Source organism: Homo sapiens, chromosome 6 (genome assembly GCF_000001405.40).
Source record: "Homo sapiens chromosome 6, GRCh38.p14 Primary Assembly".
Taxonomy (NCBI): domain Eukaryota; kingdom Metazoa; phylum Chordata; class Mammalia; order Primates; family Hominidae; genus Homo; species Homo sapiens.
This window is the reverse complement of record NC_000006.12, coordinates 77646038-77666100: the sequence shown is the minus strand read 5'-3', so window position 1 is coordinate 77666100 and position 20063 is coordinate 77646038. Positions and strand designations below refer to the sequence as shown.

General features: G+C 40.6%; 1 protein-coding gene across 3 annotated transcripts in view, besides 1 other annotated feature; it reads right to left on the bottom strand.

The window, feature by feature from the left end:
- Nucleotides 1-15827, bottom strand: part of MEI4 (meiotic double-stranded break formation protein 4) — a 276772-nt gene extending 260945 nt beyond the window's left edge. For 2 of the 3 annotated variants that reach the window (NM_001322247.2, XM_017010155.2), the window contains exon 1: nt 13009-13062. The gene's annotated coding sequence lies outside the window, so the exon portion shown is untranslated. Of the gene's footprint in view, nt 1-13008; nt 13063-15393 lie in introns of those variants that run through there. The other variant, NM_001282136.3, reaches the window with a different exon arrangement.
- Nucleotides 15482-15571: a silencer, noted in NCBI's record as "silent region_17344". NCBI's record gives its function as "represses an Ori minimal core promoter by ATAC-STARR-seq in GM12878 lymphoblastoid cells {active_cell/tissue: GM12878}" and the evidence as "EXISTENCE:reporter gene assay evidence [ECO:0000049][PMID:35858748]".
- Nucleotides 15828-20063: the final 4236 nt, after the last annotated feature.

Here is a 20063-nt window from a genome sequence, read left to right as displayed (position 1 = left end):
ACTCTCTTTTCGGACTCAGCCCACCTGCACCCAGGTGAAATAAACAGCTTTATTGCTCACACAAAGCCTGTTTGGTGGTCTCTTTACATGGACACACATGAAATTTGGTGCCGTGACTCGGATCGGGGGACCTCCCTTGGGAAATCAATCCCCTGTCCTCCTGTTCTTTGCTCCATGAGAAAGATCCACCTACGACCTCAGGTCCTCACACCGACCAGCCCAAGGAACATCTCACCAATTTTAAATCAGGTAAGCGACCTCTTCTTACTCTCTCCTCCAACCTCTCTCACTGTCCCTCAACCACTTTCTTCTTTCCACTCTTCAATCTCTCCCTTCTCTTAATTTCAATTCCTTTCATTTTCCGGGCGAGACAAAGGAGACACGTTTTATCTGTGGACCCAAAACTCCGGCGCCGGTCACGGACTGGGAAGGCAGCCTTCCCTTGGTGTTTAATCATTGCAGGGACACCTGATTATTCACCCACGTTTCAAAGGTGTCAGACCACGCAGGGACACCTGCCTTGGTCCTTCACCCTTAGCAGCAAATCCCGCTCTTCTGGGGAAGGGGCAAGTACCCCAATCCCTTCTCTCCTTGTCTCTATCCCTTCTCTGCTTTCCTGGGGCAGGGGCAAGTACCCCTCAACCCCTTCTCCTTCACCCTTAGCGGCAAGTCCCGCTTTCCTGGGGCAGGGGCAAGTACCCCTCAACCCCTTCTCCTTCACCCTTAGCGGCAAGTCCCGCTTTTCTGGGGGAGGGGCAAGTACCCCTCAACCCCTTATCTTTCACCCTTAGTGGCAAGTCCCACTTTTCTAGGGGGCAAGAACCCCCAATCCCTTATTTCCGCACCCCTACCTCATATCTCTGTGCCCCAATCCCTTATTTCCATGTCCCGACCCCTTATTTCCATGCCTCGACCCCTTTCCGTGCCTCGACTCCTTATTTCTGCACCCCATCCCTTATTTCCATGCCCCGACCTCTTATCTCTGCGCCCCAACCCCTTTTCCCACTTTTCTGGCAGGTAAGAACCCCCGAACCCCTTCCCTCCATTTCTCTACTCTCTCTTCTCTAGGCTTGCTTCCTTCACTACAGGCAACCTTCCACCCTCCATTCCTCCTTCTACTCCCTTGGCCTGTGTTCTCAAAAACTTAAAACCTCTTCAACTCACACCTGACCTAAAACCTAAATGCCTTATTTTCTTCTGCAATGCCGCTTGACCCCAATACAAACTCGACAGTAGTTCCAAAGTCAGAAAATGGCACTTTGAATTTTTCCATCCTGCAAGATCTAAATAATTCTTGTCTTAGAAAAGGCAAACGGTCTGAGGTGCCTGATGTCCAGGCATTCTTTAACACATCAGTCCCTTCCTAGTCTCTGTGCCCAGTGCAACTCATCCCAAATCTTCCTTCTTTCCCTCCTGCCTGTCCCCTCAGTCCCAACCCCAAGCGTCGCTGAGTCTTTCTAATCTTCCTTTCTACAGACCCATCTGACCTCTCCCCTCCTCACCAGGCCGAGCTAGGTCCCAATTCTTCCTCAGCCTCCACTCCTCCACCCTATAATCTTTTTATCGCCTCCCCTCCTCACACCTGGTGGGGCTTACAGTTTCGTTCCGTGACTAGCCCTCCCCCACCTGCCCAGCAATTTACTCTTAAAAAGGTGGCTGGAGCCAAAGGCATAGTCAAGGTTAATGCTTTTTCTTTATCCCAAATCAGATAGCGTTTAGGCTCTTTTTCATCAAATATAAAAATCCAGCCCACTTCATGACTTGTTTGGCAGCAACCCTGAGACACTTTACAGCCCTAGACCCCAAAAAGTCAAAAGGCCGTCTTATTCTCAATATACATTTTATTACCCAATCTGCTCCCAACATTAAATAAAACTCCAAAAATTAAATTCCGGCCCTCAAACCCCACAACAGGATTTAATTAACCTCGCCTTCAAGGTGTACAATAATAGAAAAAAGTTGCAATTCCTTGCCTCCACTGTGAGACAAACCCCAGCCACATCTCCAGCACACAAGAACTTCCAAACGCCTGAATCGCAACGGCCAGGCGTTCCTCCAGAACCTCCTCCCACAGGAGCTTGCTACATGTGCCGGAAATCTGGCCACTGGGCCAAGGAATGCCCGCAGCCCGGGATTCCTCTTAAGCCGCGTCCCATCTGTGTGGGACCCCACTGAAAATCGGACTGTTCAACTCACCTGGCAGCCACTCCCAGAGCCCCTGGAACTCTGGCCCAAGGCTCTCTGACTGACTCCTTCCCAGATCTTCTCGGCTTAGCGGCTGAAGACTGACACTGCCTGATCGCCTCGGAAGCCCCCTAGACCATCACGGACCCCGAGCTTCGGGTAACTCTCACAGTGGAAGGTAAGCCCGTCCCCTTCTTAATCAATACGGAGGCTACCCACTCCACATTACATTCTTTTCAAGGGCCTGTTTCCCTTGCCTCCATAACTGTTGTGGGTATTGACAGCCAGGCTTCTAAACTTCTTAAAACTCCCCAACTCTGGTGCCAACTTAGACAATACTCTTTTAAGCACTCCTTTTTAATTATCCCCACCTGCCCAGTTCCCTTATTAGGCTGAGACACTTTAACTAAATTATCTGCTTCCCTGACTATTCCTGGACTACAGCTATATCTCATTGCCGCCCTTCTTCCCAATCCAAAGCCTCCTTTGCATTCTCCTCTTGTATCCCCCCACCTTAACCCACAAGTATAGGACACCTCTACTCCCTCCTTGGCGACCGATCATGCACCCCTTACCATCTCATTAAAACCTAATCACCCTTACCCCACTCAATGCCAATATCCCATCCCACAGCATGCTTTAAAAAGACTAAAGCCTGTTATCACTTGCCTGCTACAGCATGGCCTTTTAAAGCCTATAAACTCTCCTTACAATTCCCCCATTTTACCTGTCCTAAAACCAGGCAAGCCTTACAAGTTAGTTCAGGATCTGCACCTTATCAACCAAATTGTTTTGCCTATCCACCCCATGGTGCCAAACCCATATACTCTCCTATCCTCAATACCTGCCTCTATAACCCATTATTCTGTTCTAGATCTCAAACATGCTTTCTTTACTATTCCTTTGCACCCTTAATCCCAGCCTCTCTTCACTTTCACTTGGACTGACCCTGACACCCATCAAGCTCAGCAAATTACCTAGGCTGTACTGCTGCAAAGCTTCACAGACAGCCCCCATTACTTCAATCAAGCCCAAATTTCTTCCTCATCTGTTACCTATCTCGGCATAATTCTCATAAAAACACACGTGCTCTCCCTGCCAATCATGTCTGACTGATCTCCAAACCCCATCACCTTCTACAAAACAAAAACTCCTTTCCTTCCTAGGCATGGTTAGCATGGTCAGAATTCTTACACAAGAGCCAGGACCACACCCTGTAGCCTTTCTCTCCAAACAACTTGACCTTACTGTTTTAGCCTAGTCCTCATGTCTGCGTGCAGTGGCTGCCGCTGCATTAATACTTTTAGAGGCCCTCAAAATCACAAACTATGCTCAACTCACTCTCTACAGCTCTCATAATTTCCAAAATTTATTTTCTTCCTCACACCGGACACATACACTTTCTGCTCCCCGGCTCCTTCAGCTATACTCACTCTTTGTTGAGTCTCCCACAATTACCATTGTTCCTGGTCTGGACTTCAATCCGGCCTCCCACATTATTCCGGATACCACACCTGACCCTCATGACTGCATCTCTCTGATCCACCTGACGTTCACCCCATTTCCCCATATTTCCTTCTTCCCTGTTTCTCACCCTGATCACACTTGGTTTATTGATGGCAGTTCCACCAGGCCTAATCACCACTCACCAGCAAAGGCAGGCTATGCTGTAGTATCTTCCACATCTATCATTGAGGCTACCACTCTGCCCCTCTCCACTACCTCTCAGCAAGCCGAACTAGTTGCCTTAACTCAAGCCCTCACTCTTGCAAAAGGACTACGCGTCAATATCTATACTGATTCTAAATGTGCCTTTCATATTCTGCACCATCATGCAGTCATATGGGCTGAAAGAGGTTTCCTCACTACACAAGGGTCCTCCATCATTAATGCCTCTTCAATAAAAACTCTGCTCAAGGCCGCTTTACTTCCAAAAGAAGCTGGGGTCATTCACTGCAAGGGGCATCAAAAGGCGTCAGATCCCATTGCTCTAGGCAATGCTTATGCTGATAAGGTGGCTAGACAAGCAGCTAGCTCTCCAACTTCTGTCCCTCACGGCCAGTTTTTCTCCTTCACTTTGGTCACTCCCACCTACTCCCCCTCTGAAACTTCCCCCTATCAATCTCTTCCCACACAAGGCAAATGGTTCTTAGACCAAGGAAAATATCTCCTTCCAGCCTCACAGGTCCATTCTATTCTGTCGTCATTTCAAAACCTCTTCCACATAGGTTACAAGCCGCTAGCCCGTCTCTTAGAACCTCTCATTTCCTTTCCATCATGGAAATCTATCCTCAAGGAGATCACTTCTCAGTGTTCCATCTGCTATTCTACTACCCCTCAAGGATTGTTCAGGCCTCCTCCCATTCCTACACATCAAGCTCGGAGATTTGCCCCTGCCCAGGACTGGCAGATTGACTTTACTCACAAGCCTCGAGTCAGAAAACTAAAATATCTCTTAGTCTGGGTAGACACTTTCACTGGATGGGTAGAGGCCTTCCCCACAGGGTCTGAGAAGGCCACCGCGGTCGTTTCTTCCCTTCTGTCAGACATAATTCCTCGGTTTGGCCTTCCCACCTCTATACAGTCTGATAACGGACCGGCCTTTATTAGTCAAATCACCCAAGCAGTTTCTCAGGCTCTTGGTATTCAGTGGAATCTTCATATCCCTTACCATCCTCAATCTTCAAGAAAGGTAGAACGGACTAATGGTCTTTTAAAGGCACACCTCACCAAGCTCAGCCTCCAACTTAAAAAGGATTGGACAGTACTTTTACCTCTTGCTCTTCTCAGCATCACAGCCTGTCCTCGAGATGCTACAGGGTACAGTCCTTTTGAACTTTTATATGGACGCACTTTCTTGCTTGGCCCCAACCTCATCCCAGACACCAGCCCTCTAGGCGACTATCTTCCAGTCCTCCAGCAGGCTAGACAGGAAATTCGCCAGGCTGCTAATCTTCTCTTGCCTACTCCAGATCCCCAGCCATACGAAGACACCCTAGCTGGACAATCAGTTCTTGTTAAGAATCTGACCCCTCAAACTCTACAACCTCAATGGACCGGACCCTACTTAGTCATCTATAGTACCCTGACTGCCGTCCGCCTGCAGGATCCTCCCCACTGGGTTCACCATTCCAGAATAAAGCTGTGTCCATCGGACAGCCAGCCTAATCCCTCCTCTTCCTCCTGGAAGTTGCAAGTACTCTCCCCTACTTCCCTTAAACTCACTCGTATTTCTGAAGAACAGTAATAACCCTTATGAGCCTAATACATCCCTTCATTCTATTAGGTCTTTTTGTCCTTACCCTACTTTTGCGACAGGGCTTTACGAAGTCACCCCCACCACTTAGGCCAAGCCCCCCCAAAAAAAACTAGTCATCCCTACTATCTTCTGTCCGGTCATACTCCTATTCTCCATTCTCAACTACTTACAAATGCCCTACTCTTGTTTACACCGCCGGTTTACACTGTTTCTTCAAGCCATCACAGCTGATATCTCTTGGTGCTATCCCCAAACTGCCACTCTTAACTCCCTCTTAGAGTGGATAGATGATCTTTGCTAGCAAGGCACCCTCCAATATTTCCACCCTGATGAAGTTCTATTCTTTACTTTTATACTCACTCTTATTCTCATTCCCATTCTTATGCCACCCTCTACCGCTCCCCAGCTACCTCCACCACACTATCAACTTTACCCATTCTCTCCTAGCCACTTCTAATCCCTCCTTAGCGAACAACTGCTGGCTTTGCATTTCCCTTTCTTCCAGTGCCTACACAGCTGTCCCCGCCTTACAGACAGACTGGGCAACATCTCCCATCTCCCTACACCTCCGAACTTCCTTTAACAGCCCTCACCTTTACCCTCTGAAGAACTCATTTACTTTCTAGACAGGTCCAGCAAGACTTCCCCAGACATTTCACATCAGCAAGCTGCCGCCCTCCTTCACACTTATTTAAAAAACCTTTCTCCTTATATTAACTCTACTCCCCCCATATTTGGACCTCTCACAACACAAACTACTATTCCTGTGGCTGCTCCTTTATGTATCTCTCGGCAGAGACCCACTGGAATTCCCCTGGGTAATCTTTCACCTTCTCGATGTTCCTTTACTCTTCATCTCCGAAGCCCAACTACACACATCACTGAAACAATTGGAGCCTTCCAGCTCCATATTACAGACAAGCCCTCTATCAATACTGACAAACTTAAAAACATTAGCAGTAATTATTGCTTAGGAAGACACTTGCCCTCTATTTCACTCCATCCTTGGCTACCTTCCCCTTGCTCATCAGACTCTCCTCCCAGGCCCTCTTCTCGTTTACTTATACCCAGCCCCAAAAATAACAGTGAAAGGTTGCTCGTAGATACTCAACGTTTTCTCATACACCATGAAAATCGAACCTCCCCCTCTACGCAGTTACCCCATCAGTCCCCATTACAACCTCTGACAGCTGCCTCCCTAGCTGGATCCCTAGGAATCTGGGTACAAGACACCCCTTTCAGCACTCCTCATCTTTTTACTTTACATCTCCAGTTTTGCCTCACACAAGGTCTCTTCTTCCTCTGTGGATCCTCTACCTACATGTGTCTACCTGCTAATTGGACAGGCACATGCACACTAGTCTTCCTTACCCCCAAAATTCAATTTGCAAATGGGACCGAAGAGCTCCCTGTTCCCCTCATGACACCGACACGACAAAAAAGAGTTATTCCACTAATTCCCTTGATGGTCGGTTTAGGACTTTCTGCCTCCACTATTGCTCTCGGTACTGGAATAGCAGGCATTTCAACCTCTGTCACGACCTTCCGTAGCCTGTCTAATGACTTCTCTGCTAGCATCACAGACATATCACAAACTTTATCAGTCCTCCAGGCCCAAGTTGACTCTTTAGCTGCAGTTGTCCTCCAAAACCGCCGAGGCCTTGACTTACTCACTGCTGAAAAAGGAGGACTCTGCATATTCTTAAATGAGGAGTGTTGTTTTTACCTAAATCAATCTGGCCTGGTGTATGACAACATAAAAAAACTCAAGGATAGAGCCCAAAAACTTGCCAACCAAGCAAGTAATTATGCTGAACCCCCTTGGGCACTCTCTAATTGGATGTCCTGGGTCCTCCCAATTCTTAGTCCTTTAATACCCATTTTTCTTCTTCTTTTATTCGGACCTTGTATCTTCCGTTTAGTTTTTCAATTCATCCAAAACCGTATCCAGGCCATCACCAATCATTATATACAACAAATGTTTCTTCTAACATCCCCACAATATCACCCTTTACCACAAGACCTCCCTTCAGCTTAATCTCTCCCACTCTAGGTTCCCACGCCGCCCCTAATCCCGCTTGAAACAGCCCTGAGAAACATCGCCCACTCTCTCTCCATACCACCCCCCAAAAAATTTTCACCGCCCCAACACTTCAACACTATTTTGTTTTATTTTTCTTATAAGAAGGCAGGAATGTCAGGCCTCTGAGCCCAAGCCAAGCCATCGCATCCCCTGTGACTTGCACGTATACATCCAGATGGCCTAAAGTAATTGAAGATCCACAAAAGGAGTAAAAACAGCCTTAACTGATGACATTCCACTATTGTGATTTGTTCCTGCCCCACCCTAACTGATCAATGAACTGATCAATGTACTTTGTAATCTCCCCCACCCTTAAGAAGGTTCTTTGTAATTCTCCCCACCCTTGAGAATGTACTTTGTGAGACCCACCCCCTGCCCGCAAAACATTGCTCTTAACTTCACCGCCTATCCCAAAACCTATAAGAACTAACGATAATCCACCACCCTTCGCTGACTCTCTTTTCGGACTCAGCCCGCCTGCACCCAGGTGAAATAAACAGCTTTATTGCTCACACAAAGCCTGTTTGGTGGTCTCTTCACACGGACACGCATGAAAACTACTATACAGCCATGATTCAATCCCAGGCTCACGCCTCCAAATCCTGTGTCTCCACATGGACCTGACTATACATTTATGAAGGACTCAAAGAAATAAACTAGTGTGGGTTAGTGTGAACAGGAGGAGGAGGGACTTCTGAAGTGTACCTGGAATGTTTGAAGATGGGAACTCAGAGAGGCAAAAGCAGGGCAAAAGAGCACTTCAAATGGGGTGAACAGAGCAGAGAGCATATAATGGCATAGGTGTTCATGGAAGAATGCATGAGCTCCTTGACTAAAGAATATGGTATTAGGGAATAAAAGAAAATAGGGTAGGGAAGTTGGGGTCTTGAAAGTCAGTCAGAGGGGTCTTGACTTCTTAAAGTAGACAGCTGGAAAACAATGCAGCCTTCAGAGTGGATGAGTAAAAAAAAAAATCCAAGTGGTGTTTTAAGAGGATTAAGCAAGGAAGAAAGGAGCTGAGGGATTGTTGACACCACATAGTAAAGAAGGGCTGGAAGAACTAAGCCAGGATGCTGACAGTGCACAAAGAATACAGGAAGCTCTAAAAGATGTTTGTGAAATTGAAGGGCTTGCTTCCAGATTGTTAAAAGAGAGGGCAGGTGATGGAAGACTGGAATATGATTCCAATCCTAGGTCAATGAAGTGATGGATCCCAGTTGGAAAACCTAATAAAATTACTGGAAAGTACAACATGTACAAAATAATACTGATATAATATTTACTCAGCCCACTTGAACTATTCTCTGAAGTTGTTTCTTTCTTTACTGAACTTCAGCTTTTTAATCAATGAGTAATGAAAATGAGGTAAGCACATTAATAATTAAGGAATCCAGTTCCCAGCCATGTAGTTTCAATCAGTAACTTTCTCAGTGATCTCGTGCAGTAGCCTTATTTTTGAAAAAAGATGAGAAACTGGGAATTTGTCTATTATTTGCCACTAAAGATTTTTACAGCAGCAATTTAGCATGAAACATACTGCCAAAGTCTTTGAGCTGAAACAGTTGCTTCATTTGCTGTCTGCGATTATGCTGTAGTTACTTGTATTCATACAGCAATCAGGTAACACAATTTTGGTTTTGGGAAACTGATTTTGATGAAGAGGGTTTACTAAAAATACTTGTAATTTTTAAAATCTATTTGTTACATGGTTTAAATACTATCTAGTAATCATCAAATAAATGATGGATGATGGATAGTGAGTGAATTTTTTTAATTAAAAGATAATCTTTATAAGAATGGAAACTAAATTATTAAGAGTGGATTATTAAGAGTAAATTATTTAGAGCCATATCTATGAGAAATAATTATTTAGGAAACAACAACCTCTTGAGAACTATCTAAGTGTTTTATGCACCGTTATGAAAAGGCAGATTATTATAAGAAACTAATGTTCTTTCAGTAAATGTTCAGCACCACTTATTGATTGTGCCAGGCACTAGAGTTAAGGATATCCTTCCCCTTAGGAACATTTAATCTACTGTGAAGATAGAAATAAATACATAAAATACAAACTGATGCATGAATAATAGAACATAAAGTACACAACAGTTCAGACAAGAAAGAAAGTAGCTTTCTCCTATCAGGAAATAAAAAGGAATGGATCATAAACAATCAGTTATGGTAAAACCTATTTTTGAGAATTTTTAAAATATGCCCTGTTTTGTTTTTTTTAATCTTGCAAGAGACAGACATTCATGAAAATAGGAAGTCATAAGAAAAGAAGCAAGCAATCAATAAGCAGCCTCTGAAATATATTTTCTAACAATTATCTTAAAGATTAAGAAAGCCATATCTCTCTCTCCAACAATCAAAATTACTTCCTAATGTGTTGTTTTCATTCTTCTACTCATTCAGATTAATCTAAAGCACATGTTAAATACAAGAGGATTTATTTTCCAGAGTTCTGCCATGGTGAAAGCAATCTAATAAAAATGAAATGAAGAATGAGCTCACTGAATAAATCAGAAGGAAGAATTAAAGAGCTGACAGATATTTTGAAAGCCTGTTAAAAAGTAAATTGGACTTTCATTATAAAAATTGACTTAAATGAAGGCTATGCTTAAGAACCTACTTCAGAACATTTCCTTAAAGACAATTTGATTATCTACTGAAAATATTGCATTTTAATATATTTTACTATATTTCCAAAATCTAAGGAGTATAATAATGGACATAAGAACAGAGCGAAATGTCCAAACAAAAAATCTCAGAACAAGATACTAAAAATCTCTGAGTCTACTGACGTCTGTCATTTAAATCTGAAACCTAAATAAAAAGTTCAACAAATTACTTTAAATAGTGCTCCCAAAAGTAATAAAAGAATGATTCCTGTACTTTCGTTATTTTAAGGAAAACCTAAAGAAAATAGGATAGTATATACACAGCCCTCTAAATATCTAAAATTTGTAAACTATTTTACCTCCTTGATAGAAAGCCTTGAAATATATATAAGTCTGATAACAGAAAGAAAAAAGCCCGCATCCAAGACAACTCTTCATATTTTAAACAGCAGAGGAGGAAGTATAAAAAGGATTAAGATTATATTCTCCCATAAATTTGCAAATAACGGAAGAAGAAATGTTGGTTCTTCTCATATTTATTGGAGGGCTCATGCTTAACTAAGCTCCATCAGACAACACATAGAAAAAGAGCTCATTGCAGCACTGTTTACAATAGCAAAGGCTTGGAACCAAGCCAAATGCCCATCAATGATAAACTGGATAAAGAAAATGTGGCACATATACACCATGGAATACTATGCAGCCATAAAAAAGGATGAGTTCATGTCCTTTGGAGGGACATGGATGAAGCTGGAAACCACCATTCTCAGCAAACTAACACAGGAACAGGAAACCAAACACTGCATGTTCTCAGTCATAAGTGGGAGTTGAACAATGAGAACACATGGACACAGGGAGGGGAACATCACACACCGGGGCCTGTCAGAGGGTGGGGAGGGATAGCACTAGGAGAAATACCTAATGTAGATGATGGGTTGATGGGTGCAGCAAACCACCATGGCAGCATGTGTACACCTATGTAACAAACCTGCACATTCTGCACATGTATACCAGAACTTAAAATATAATAAAAAATAAAAATAAAAACTAAAACAAAACAAAAAAATAAAAAGAAAAAGAGCTTCTTTTCTAGCCACCCTGTTTTAAACACATAGAGATGGTAAGGTACTCAAAAACTTACTGTCTGAAGAACAGAGGATTAAAATGTGAATTTGACTCATTCTACAAAATCCCAATGTAAAGGACAAGGACAGCAGAGAGAAGTTGTATATACAATATTCCATCAACCAGATGCATCTAAATTCAATTTGATTATCAACGAAAAAATATTGCATTTCAATATATCTTGCTGTATTTCCAAAATGCAAGGGTTATAATAATGAACATAAAAAATAAACAGTAGTAGTACTTTTATTCATTTTTTTTTTAGTGTTGTATTATTGTTTTCAATTTTTTAAACATATTCAATCTGTGGTTGGTTTGAATCTATGGATAAAGAACCCACAGATAAGGAAGGTCTACTGAATTTGCTCTAACCAAAATGGCAGTACCATACAGTGCATGTCAGAGAACCTGAAAATCTGAATATAGAACCATTTAACCTAACTTAGGTAATTTTCCATCAAATATTCCATTCCTTACTCTTTTATTCAACAGATATATTTAATTATCCCCAACCTGTCAGGCACTGTGGTAGACACAGGGATATAACAGTCAACAAAACAAGTCTATCTCTGCCTTTATGGAGCTTTTAGCCATCAATCATTCCTATCTATAACACTCCCTGTTCAGTAAGAAATCTCAGAGATGCTGTAAATCAGAGATTGGAAAACTGGCCCACAGGCTGAATCTGGCTGGCCTGCTTCTATAAACCACATTTCATTGAAACAGACATGCCCACTCATTCATGTATCATTGCTTTTGCACTACAGCTTTGCAGTTTAGTAGTTACAACAGAAACAGTATGGCCTGCAAAGCCTGAACTATTTACTCTATTGAATAAATATTTATTTTTTTCTGGCACTGTTCAGAAACAGTTTGCCAAGCCTTGCTCCAAATAAAACCTGATGCTTTAAGGATGTATATTAAAAGATACATACTGTCACTTATACTGAATTCCTTAGTTACAAACCATATGATGGGGGGTTGACTTCCTACAGGGATGTATTTCTACCACTATAATATTTATTTTCACTTCCTTTCCTTGTAAAGGCAGGTGACAAAAAAAATTATGTGGCTACTATCTTCTATTAACAGCTTACTCTCTTTAGATGATGTTAACGTTGTCTTACATCTATCTTTTGATAGATCAGAGTTCTTCCACATCATAGAAGGCCCATTTTTCAGAAAAGATCCTTTTCTCTGATAAATTTTGACAGGAGTGATTTTAGGCTACCTTTTAAATTGAACAATAAAATTGATTGTAAAAGCACTTAGCCAACACTCAGGTGCTATATAAATGCAAAATCATAGCAGCAATAGTACCTTCATTTCCCTGAAGATATATGAGTGGATGCTTATTCCCCAATCACTTGACCCAGAGAGCATCAAAATTTTAAATGAAAGAAAAGAAGACTAACCTCCATTGGCTGTTACCAAAAATTCCTAATGAGAAGTGACAGGCCCTGTGCTCACTGTGGTTCCTCCAAAGGATGTTAAGAGGCTAAGGCTGTGGCTGAACATCAATTTGCCATACCCAAAACCCTTTTCTTTCCCTAATGGTAATCAATGTAGCATGAATAAAATTAAATGTCTACTTAGTTCATATTTAGCCACCATAATGCAGAAATAACTGGCTTGAGAAAGATCCTTGCGAAGCCTTGGTTTTTGAAAGTTTTCCCACTTTATCAACCTACTGGCAAAATACATTTCAAGTGCTCAAGAGTGGAGAACCAGCTCACCAGTAAACAGAGAAGCAGAAATGAGATGATAACAGGGCAAGAGAACGCCTCATCAGGGGTGGGAGGGCTGACTTGGTAACAAGAGAGACCTCTCTTAGGAACCAGCTTAAACATTCTATTCTTGAAAATTCCTTCCTTGATACCCTCAGGCCATGTCAATTCCTTCTGATTACAGGTGCTCTTAACATTCTATACTCTTTGTTTCTATCAGTTATCACAATTGCAGTTGGATAACCCGTATGTAGTCAGTTGTTTGATGTCTATGGGCCTTAGTGAGCCCATTTCCTGTCTGTTCAGAGCAGAAATCTCTGTGGCTAACACATGATGAGCTCTGAAAATCTTAGCTGAATAACTTAACATGAATGGATAGATAAGCCAGCTGGATTCTAGGCACTCTGCTGGCACATAAGGAAGCTATGATTACTGGATAACGGTCTCCTCAAAAATAGCCAATATCTTCCTTCCTATCCTTTAACATTAAGTTATATTCTAAGAAAGTGCACTAATTGCATACCAAACCTTTGTACCTTTTCCATCAATCCTCTCCTCTCAGCTCTTTCAATGTCGTTCCCTGAATTGACTTCTACCTTTCAATACGTAATAATGTTCAGGTTGCTCCCAGCTTTAAAAAAAGAAAAAATATATACACAATCACCCCCACCTGACCTAGGTCGCAAATGACATCATAACTGCCAAACCTTAAGACCACTTGCAAACCCCCATTCTATTTATCTGCAGTATTTGACCCTGACGAGCACTCCTCTACTCTTAAAACACTTTGCTCTCTGACTTCAGCAGCCTTACTCCCATGATTATTGTCCTATATTTTAAAATGTGTCTAATTTTCCTCAAACCATTAGTATCTCGTCATTATGATTGTATCAGCCTTCTAACTGATCTCTAACTCCCTCCAATCTATTCTCCACAATGTAGTCATATGTATGTTTGCCTCAACAATGCTCCTAAGTGACCTAGCCTAATTTAGCTAGCTTTGTTATAATAAATTGTCAGCCTGACCTTCAGCTTCAAGCACCTTGACATGGCAGAGTTTAATGTACACATGCCTTATGAAAGAATTAAAATATTCTCTTTGATCTTCACCACAATATCCAATGGACTGCTAACATCCTCATACACACTAAAGACATGGTGTAACGTAACATTTTCTAAGCTTTAACAAGGCCTACAAAACAGTTTTTTGCAAAGCTGATTCCAAATACTGGCATTCAGACTAACATTCACAAAAAAAGAATAAAAAACATACTCATGGTTATCAATTTTTGTGTGACCATTTTCAAATTTTACATCTGAATTTATGGTCCATTACCATGTCCTGAAAGTCATCCATACATGTTTCAAATTACACATGCTCTTTATTTCATTTGATCTGAAACTCTTCTGAAGGACTAAGTCCTCATATATAAAAATAAATAGAATAATGGATAGCAACTCACAAATCCCCGTCAAGTGACTGAGTCTCTTTGCAGTCATATAATACGCTGTAAATCTCTCGATTTTAAATAGACAACAAAAATACAAACAAGTCCCCCAAAAGTGATCAATGTGTGTAATCAATTTTACAAAAATGTTGCTATTGAACAATATATTCCATTCATATTTTTCTACGTTATGTGCATTTTATGAATATTAAACAACTGCACATTGCCTTATCTATGGTTCCTGATGGAATTCAAGTCCAAATGTGTCTGCAATTCCAGACTTTAAAACCATTCAAAGCTTTTCAGTCCAAGATATTCCTCCAGACTTAATTCCTGCCTCTTCAAACAATCTAGATATACCAAGACACTGTTTTCTCCATACATATGTGGCTTCCTGCCTTTATTCTTAACAAGCCCTTCATTTGTCCTGTATTCCTCACTCTTGCCTTTATTTTTCAAATGTTTCTTATCCCTCCTTAAAGGGACACCTCCTCCATGAAGCTTCTCCCTCAAGCCCCCATGTCCCACACTACTTTATCAAATCCTTATGCAAGTTCACCCTTTACCCTCAATGCTTCCTATGGATCTATAAATCCCTTGCTAACTGAAGCCTGTGAGGTCCTTGAGACAAAAGACCACGTCTGTCCCACCTTTGACACCTACAGCACTTCACCTATTTCGTCCAATAGAATGGGTGCTTAATAAAAAGATCTGCTCACTGAATAGATTTGACAACTCCACCAAAGACCTCAAAACACAGGCCTCTCTTCCAAGCTCAGGAACCATTTTGGTGGTCAAGCCAGGCTAGAACATGCTCAGACTCTGGCATATACCACAGAAATCCACACAGGTGTGGGCCGATGCTTCAGCAGCTCCACAGCAGACACAGTCTATAATCAATTAGGTAAACAGAAACGTCCAAACGTGTGCGGAGCTCCATACACACCTGAAAATATTGCGAGCTCAGGTCCAAACCCAGGGCACGTGAAAGGGACGAGTGGTCCACAGGCACAGAAAGCCAGGCCTCGCGCTGAGGGAGGGCGTCCTGGAAAGCTGTGCAGGGCCCGCCCCGCCTACCTTCTGGGTTCCTGTAGCGGGGGAGGGCGCCCTCAAGCGGGCACGGGAGCCCTGGAGCAGGCGCTCTGCGCCATCCCCAGGGGCGGGGTTCCACGTGCTGCCCCGCAGGTGGTCACCAGAGCCAGCGGGGAAACGCTGGCCAGCGCCCAGGGCCTTCCACTCGTGGGGGAAGTGAGGGAGCAGGTCCCGGAGACCACAAGCCCCAGAAGACCCTGCGGCCGACTCGACCCCTTCTGCCCCTCTTGGCGGGCTGTTCCGAGGAGGAGACGAGTGCTCCACAACCAGTCCAGAGAAAATAACTCCAGCTCTAAGCAGGAGCCTAGTCAACGCGGGTACTCGGCTCTACGGACCCGGCATTCTTTAATACGGGCTTTGGGAAGGAAATGGCGCAGGCCAAGTCTCTTTCCTCCGGAGAGCGCCCCCTCGAGCTTGCTCGTCTGAAAGTGAGATTAAGGCCTTGAAGAAAAAGAAAAAAAAAATCGCTACAGAGACATCTCACGGAAATAAATGCATTGATTCTAATGAGGGAGCAGGATGGGAAAGGGGGACTTCGAGAACTGATGAAAAGATGAATTATAAAACGATTTTTCTTTTTCCAAAAGGAAAATTAAATTTTTATTTCTTGCAAGAAATTGTGATTGTAGAGTGATTTTTCTCACTTTCCTATTTTTCACATTGCATTTTCGCTTTTAGTCTTAATCATATTTTTTTGCCTTATGTTATACTAGAATCTCAGCTGGATTCTAAACATCCTGAAGGCAGATTCTCTGTAATATGTAGTATTACACACAATGCTTAGTTGCTGTTAAGTAGAAGTCTTAATATGTTATTTATAGAATAAAATATCAAGCATTTTTAAATAGAGGTTTGTTAAACTTATTTTACTAAATGGATTTTATTTTATTAAGACATTCATTTGCATCTAATCAGTTATTATAAATTTCTGTACAATGTTAAGCATGATTGTTTTAGCCATCTGCCCATTAAAGAAATTCAAGGATTTTAAGTCTACTGTAATTTGTTTAATATACCATTCATCTTTAAATCCTGCAGAGGTAAATTTAAGATAAACCAAGATTGAATTTTCTTGAACCCCAAATTAATGAACACTAAATTAATGGCTTACTGTATTTGCTGTTCTTATTGACAAATGTAAAATCCAATCATCACAGTTGATTTCTCACAGAGATAAACAAGGGTCAAGTAGGGGAAATGTAGAAAAGTTGCCTGTGTTGCTGCATGTGTGAAATTCTGTTTCAATTCCACTCATTCATTCATTTAAACATATTGGATTGAACTCCTGTTATGCCAGCACATCCAGGAGGCCAGTTCAGTCTCTCTTTAGCTGCCTCCCTTTAATTTGTCTTACAAGCTTCCTGTTCAGAGTGTTCCATCCACTAATATCTCAACATTCTCCATGGTATCTGAGGCAGCTACCTTCACAACTCTTTCATATCTTTTAACTGTTTCTTAGTCTTTTGGCTAATCTTTACCTGATAACTTTCATACCTGCTTTTGCCTCATATTCCTATTGGTCATCACTTACGGACTGTACTTTCTTCAAATTCATTGCCAGCACATAACAGGAGTTCAATCCTGTTGAACTCACAGGGTGAGTCATGATTATTGCCCTATACAAGTGCACAGTCTGATAATTAAAACAAATGGGTAAACAATCAAACTACATTGCAATCGCTGAAATCCAATGGGAAAACTGCAAACTGAATTTTAATGAAAACATACCCTTTCACATTAAGCCTTAGGTAGGTGTCTCTTAATCTAAGTAAAATTTATAATTTTCTTTGAGCTTCTGAAAATAACATGGTTATGAATTTTCCAAAAGTGTATAATGGAGAATAACTTTCAGGAAAATTGTACAAGTGTTTTTACTGATTTTGGCCTCCCTCATTTTTAGTGAGAATACATAATAGGTAATAAGTACATTTTTGTTGTATAAAGAAATGAATGAACTCCAGGTACTTGAAGTATTTAATTCTGTGCCTTTTAGGAACTACTTTTCTAAAAACATCATTGGCTTTGACCCAAGCCACTTTTCTAAAGGAGTTTATAAATAACAGAAGGTGAAAATGTGCAAAGATACACATAAGGTCTTTTACCTCTTCCTATTATTCATTGCATTTAAATACAGAGGATCTGAATGGGGCTTCAGCAGATAGTCGGAACAGAATGTTTTCAAAAATCATGCTTCTCACATGTAACTGTTTCAAGACAGCAAGGTTATTAAAAGCCAGTCTATAAATTAGCAAAGGAAATTATTAATGGTAATGATGTATGAATTTTCAGAGTTTGAATAAAAACACAAAAGAAAATGGTTTCTCTGTTTGCAAAATATAAAACCTTAGATGAAGAGAACACTAAATTATTATTAGCTGGTTTACTATAAAACAAAATTATTTAAAATGGATAAAATGAGTACAAAAACGTAATCAAATAACACACAGTAACACAAATAACACCTTAGTTGCTGTCGTGTGTTATTTGAATATTAATTCTAAGATGGTTACTTTAATCAAAAACAGCAGAATATCTAATAACATGTCAAATAAAGATGTGTTATTTTAAAAATACCTATTGTTTAAAAACATTATTTAAAAAATAGACATTTTGCATTATTTTATTATATAAAATTATAAAAATGGTATAAACTGTTCTATCATAAAATAGAAATGTCATCAATAATTCCTAGGCCAATATGCCTTACACAGAAAAAAATTAGTTTTGTGTTCAGTTTAGCAGTTCGAGAAACATTTATTATCTTAGGTACACTTAGAAATAAGAAAATCCCTGTTTGCAATGTTCTAGCAACCTAGTAAGAGAACCAAATTTTAAAATCAAGTATAATGATTAATAATAACTAGCAAATATTGCACATACTATACCAGGTAATCATGGACTCTCTGATTTAATTAATCCTCACAATATTCTTATGGGGCAAGTAATGTTTTTAATCCTTATTTCACAATAAGGAAACCGATTGATTAATTCATCCAAGGACATTCAGCTTGTAGGTGGTAGAGCTAAGACCTCCACCGCACCCTATCTTACTTCAAAGTGTATAAACTTAAAGCGCATAAACCTAACCCTTCACTCTAGCACATCTAGGAGGCCAGCTCAGTCTCTCTTTAGCTGCCTCCCTTTAATTTGTCTTACAAGCTTCCTGTTCAGAGTGTTCCATCCACTACTGTCTTAACATTCTCCCTGGTATCTGAGGCAGCCACCTTCACAACTCTTTCGTGTCTTTTAACAGTTTCTCAGAATTTTGACTAATATTTTACCTGATAACTTTCACACCTGCTTTTGCTTCATATTCATATTGGTCATCACTTACGATTGGCTGTACTTTCTTCAAGTTGGTCTAACAGCCTAACGTAATCTTCAATAGATAATGAACCTATGGTTATTTGATTTAACATTATTCCACAGAATCCCACACATCATTATGTTTAATAATTCAATGGCTATTAACACAAAATTAGTAATTTATAATGTCATTTACATAATTGTTAGCATATTACAGATGCCCTCTTGCAATTTTTTCCCAATCTTTGTCAATATGGTTGCTATCTTTGTTTTAAAAGAGCAAAGTCCATAAAAGTTTACAGTGTTTGAATCTATTAAACTATGCTAAATATATGAAAGAAATAAGAAAAAATGTGTTTTAAAAATACTTAACTTTGAAGCATAAAGTGTAGAATTGTAGAAAAGTGGAAAGATTGAGAATAGAGCTGAGCAGAGGCAGTGTTTACAACTATGAATAATATCTCATTTTAATATACTTAAAATCACACATTGTAAAAAGAACTGTTCCCCAGATTAGAGTATTTTACTTTATCTACTTATATTTGTGAAGAATTTTCAAAAGTGTTTTAAATGAAATTTCTATTTTGAATGTACAGAGAATGTTTAGGCTTTGAAAAGAAACACTGAAAACAAAAATCTGTTTCTAAAGTAAATAAGTCTTTGTTGTATGAATATTGCATCCTAATTTATGTGTTTATGAGCTCAGTTTCTTGTGTTATTTTGTTTTCTCGGAACACCATATACTGAATTTTGTGCTTTTTTGAATGAAAAGTTTCACAGTTTTACCAACTGAATTGATGAAAGGACATACAAAACAAATGAGACTGAACTACTAAAATTATAAGCACCATAGAAGCCATTTTAGATCTACTAGGAAACAAGAAAGGCACTCTATTAAGATATCAAGTAAAAAAGCAAATCACTGAGGCATGCTAACAGTTTGGAAAAGGGACTTCAGAGGCGCATATGGCGAAACCTTCCATGGAGACAAAAGAGCTTGTTCAGTTACTGTTGGAGCCATTGTGACTTTCTGAAAGAACGGATAACAAAGAAAGGTAAGGCAAAAGAGGTGCTCTGCAGAAGATGTACTTTTAAAGCATTCCATTTGCATTAAAGAAATATGAGAATTAGGCAGAAATATCAAGAAATATTCAGAACTAAACGCTGCCAAGATCAACATTAAGAAAAGTAAAAGTTTATTTAATGATGGGGAAGTTT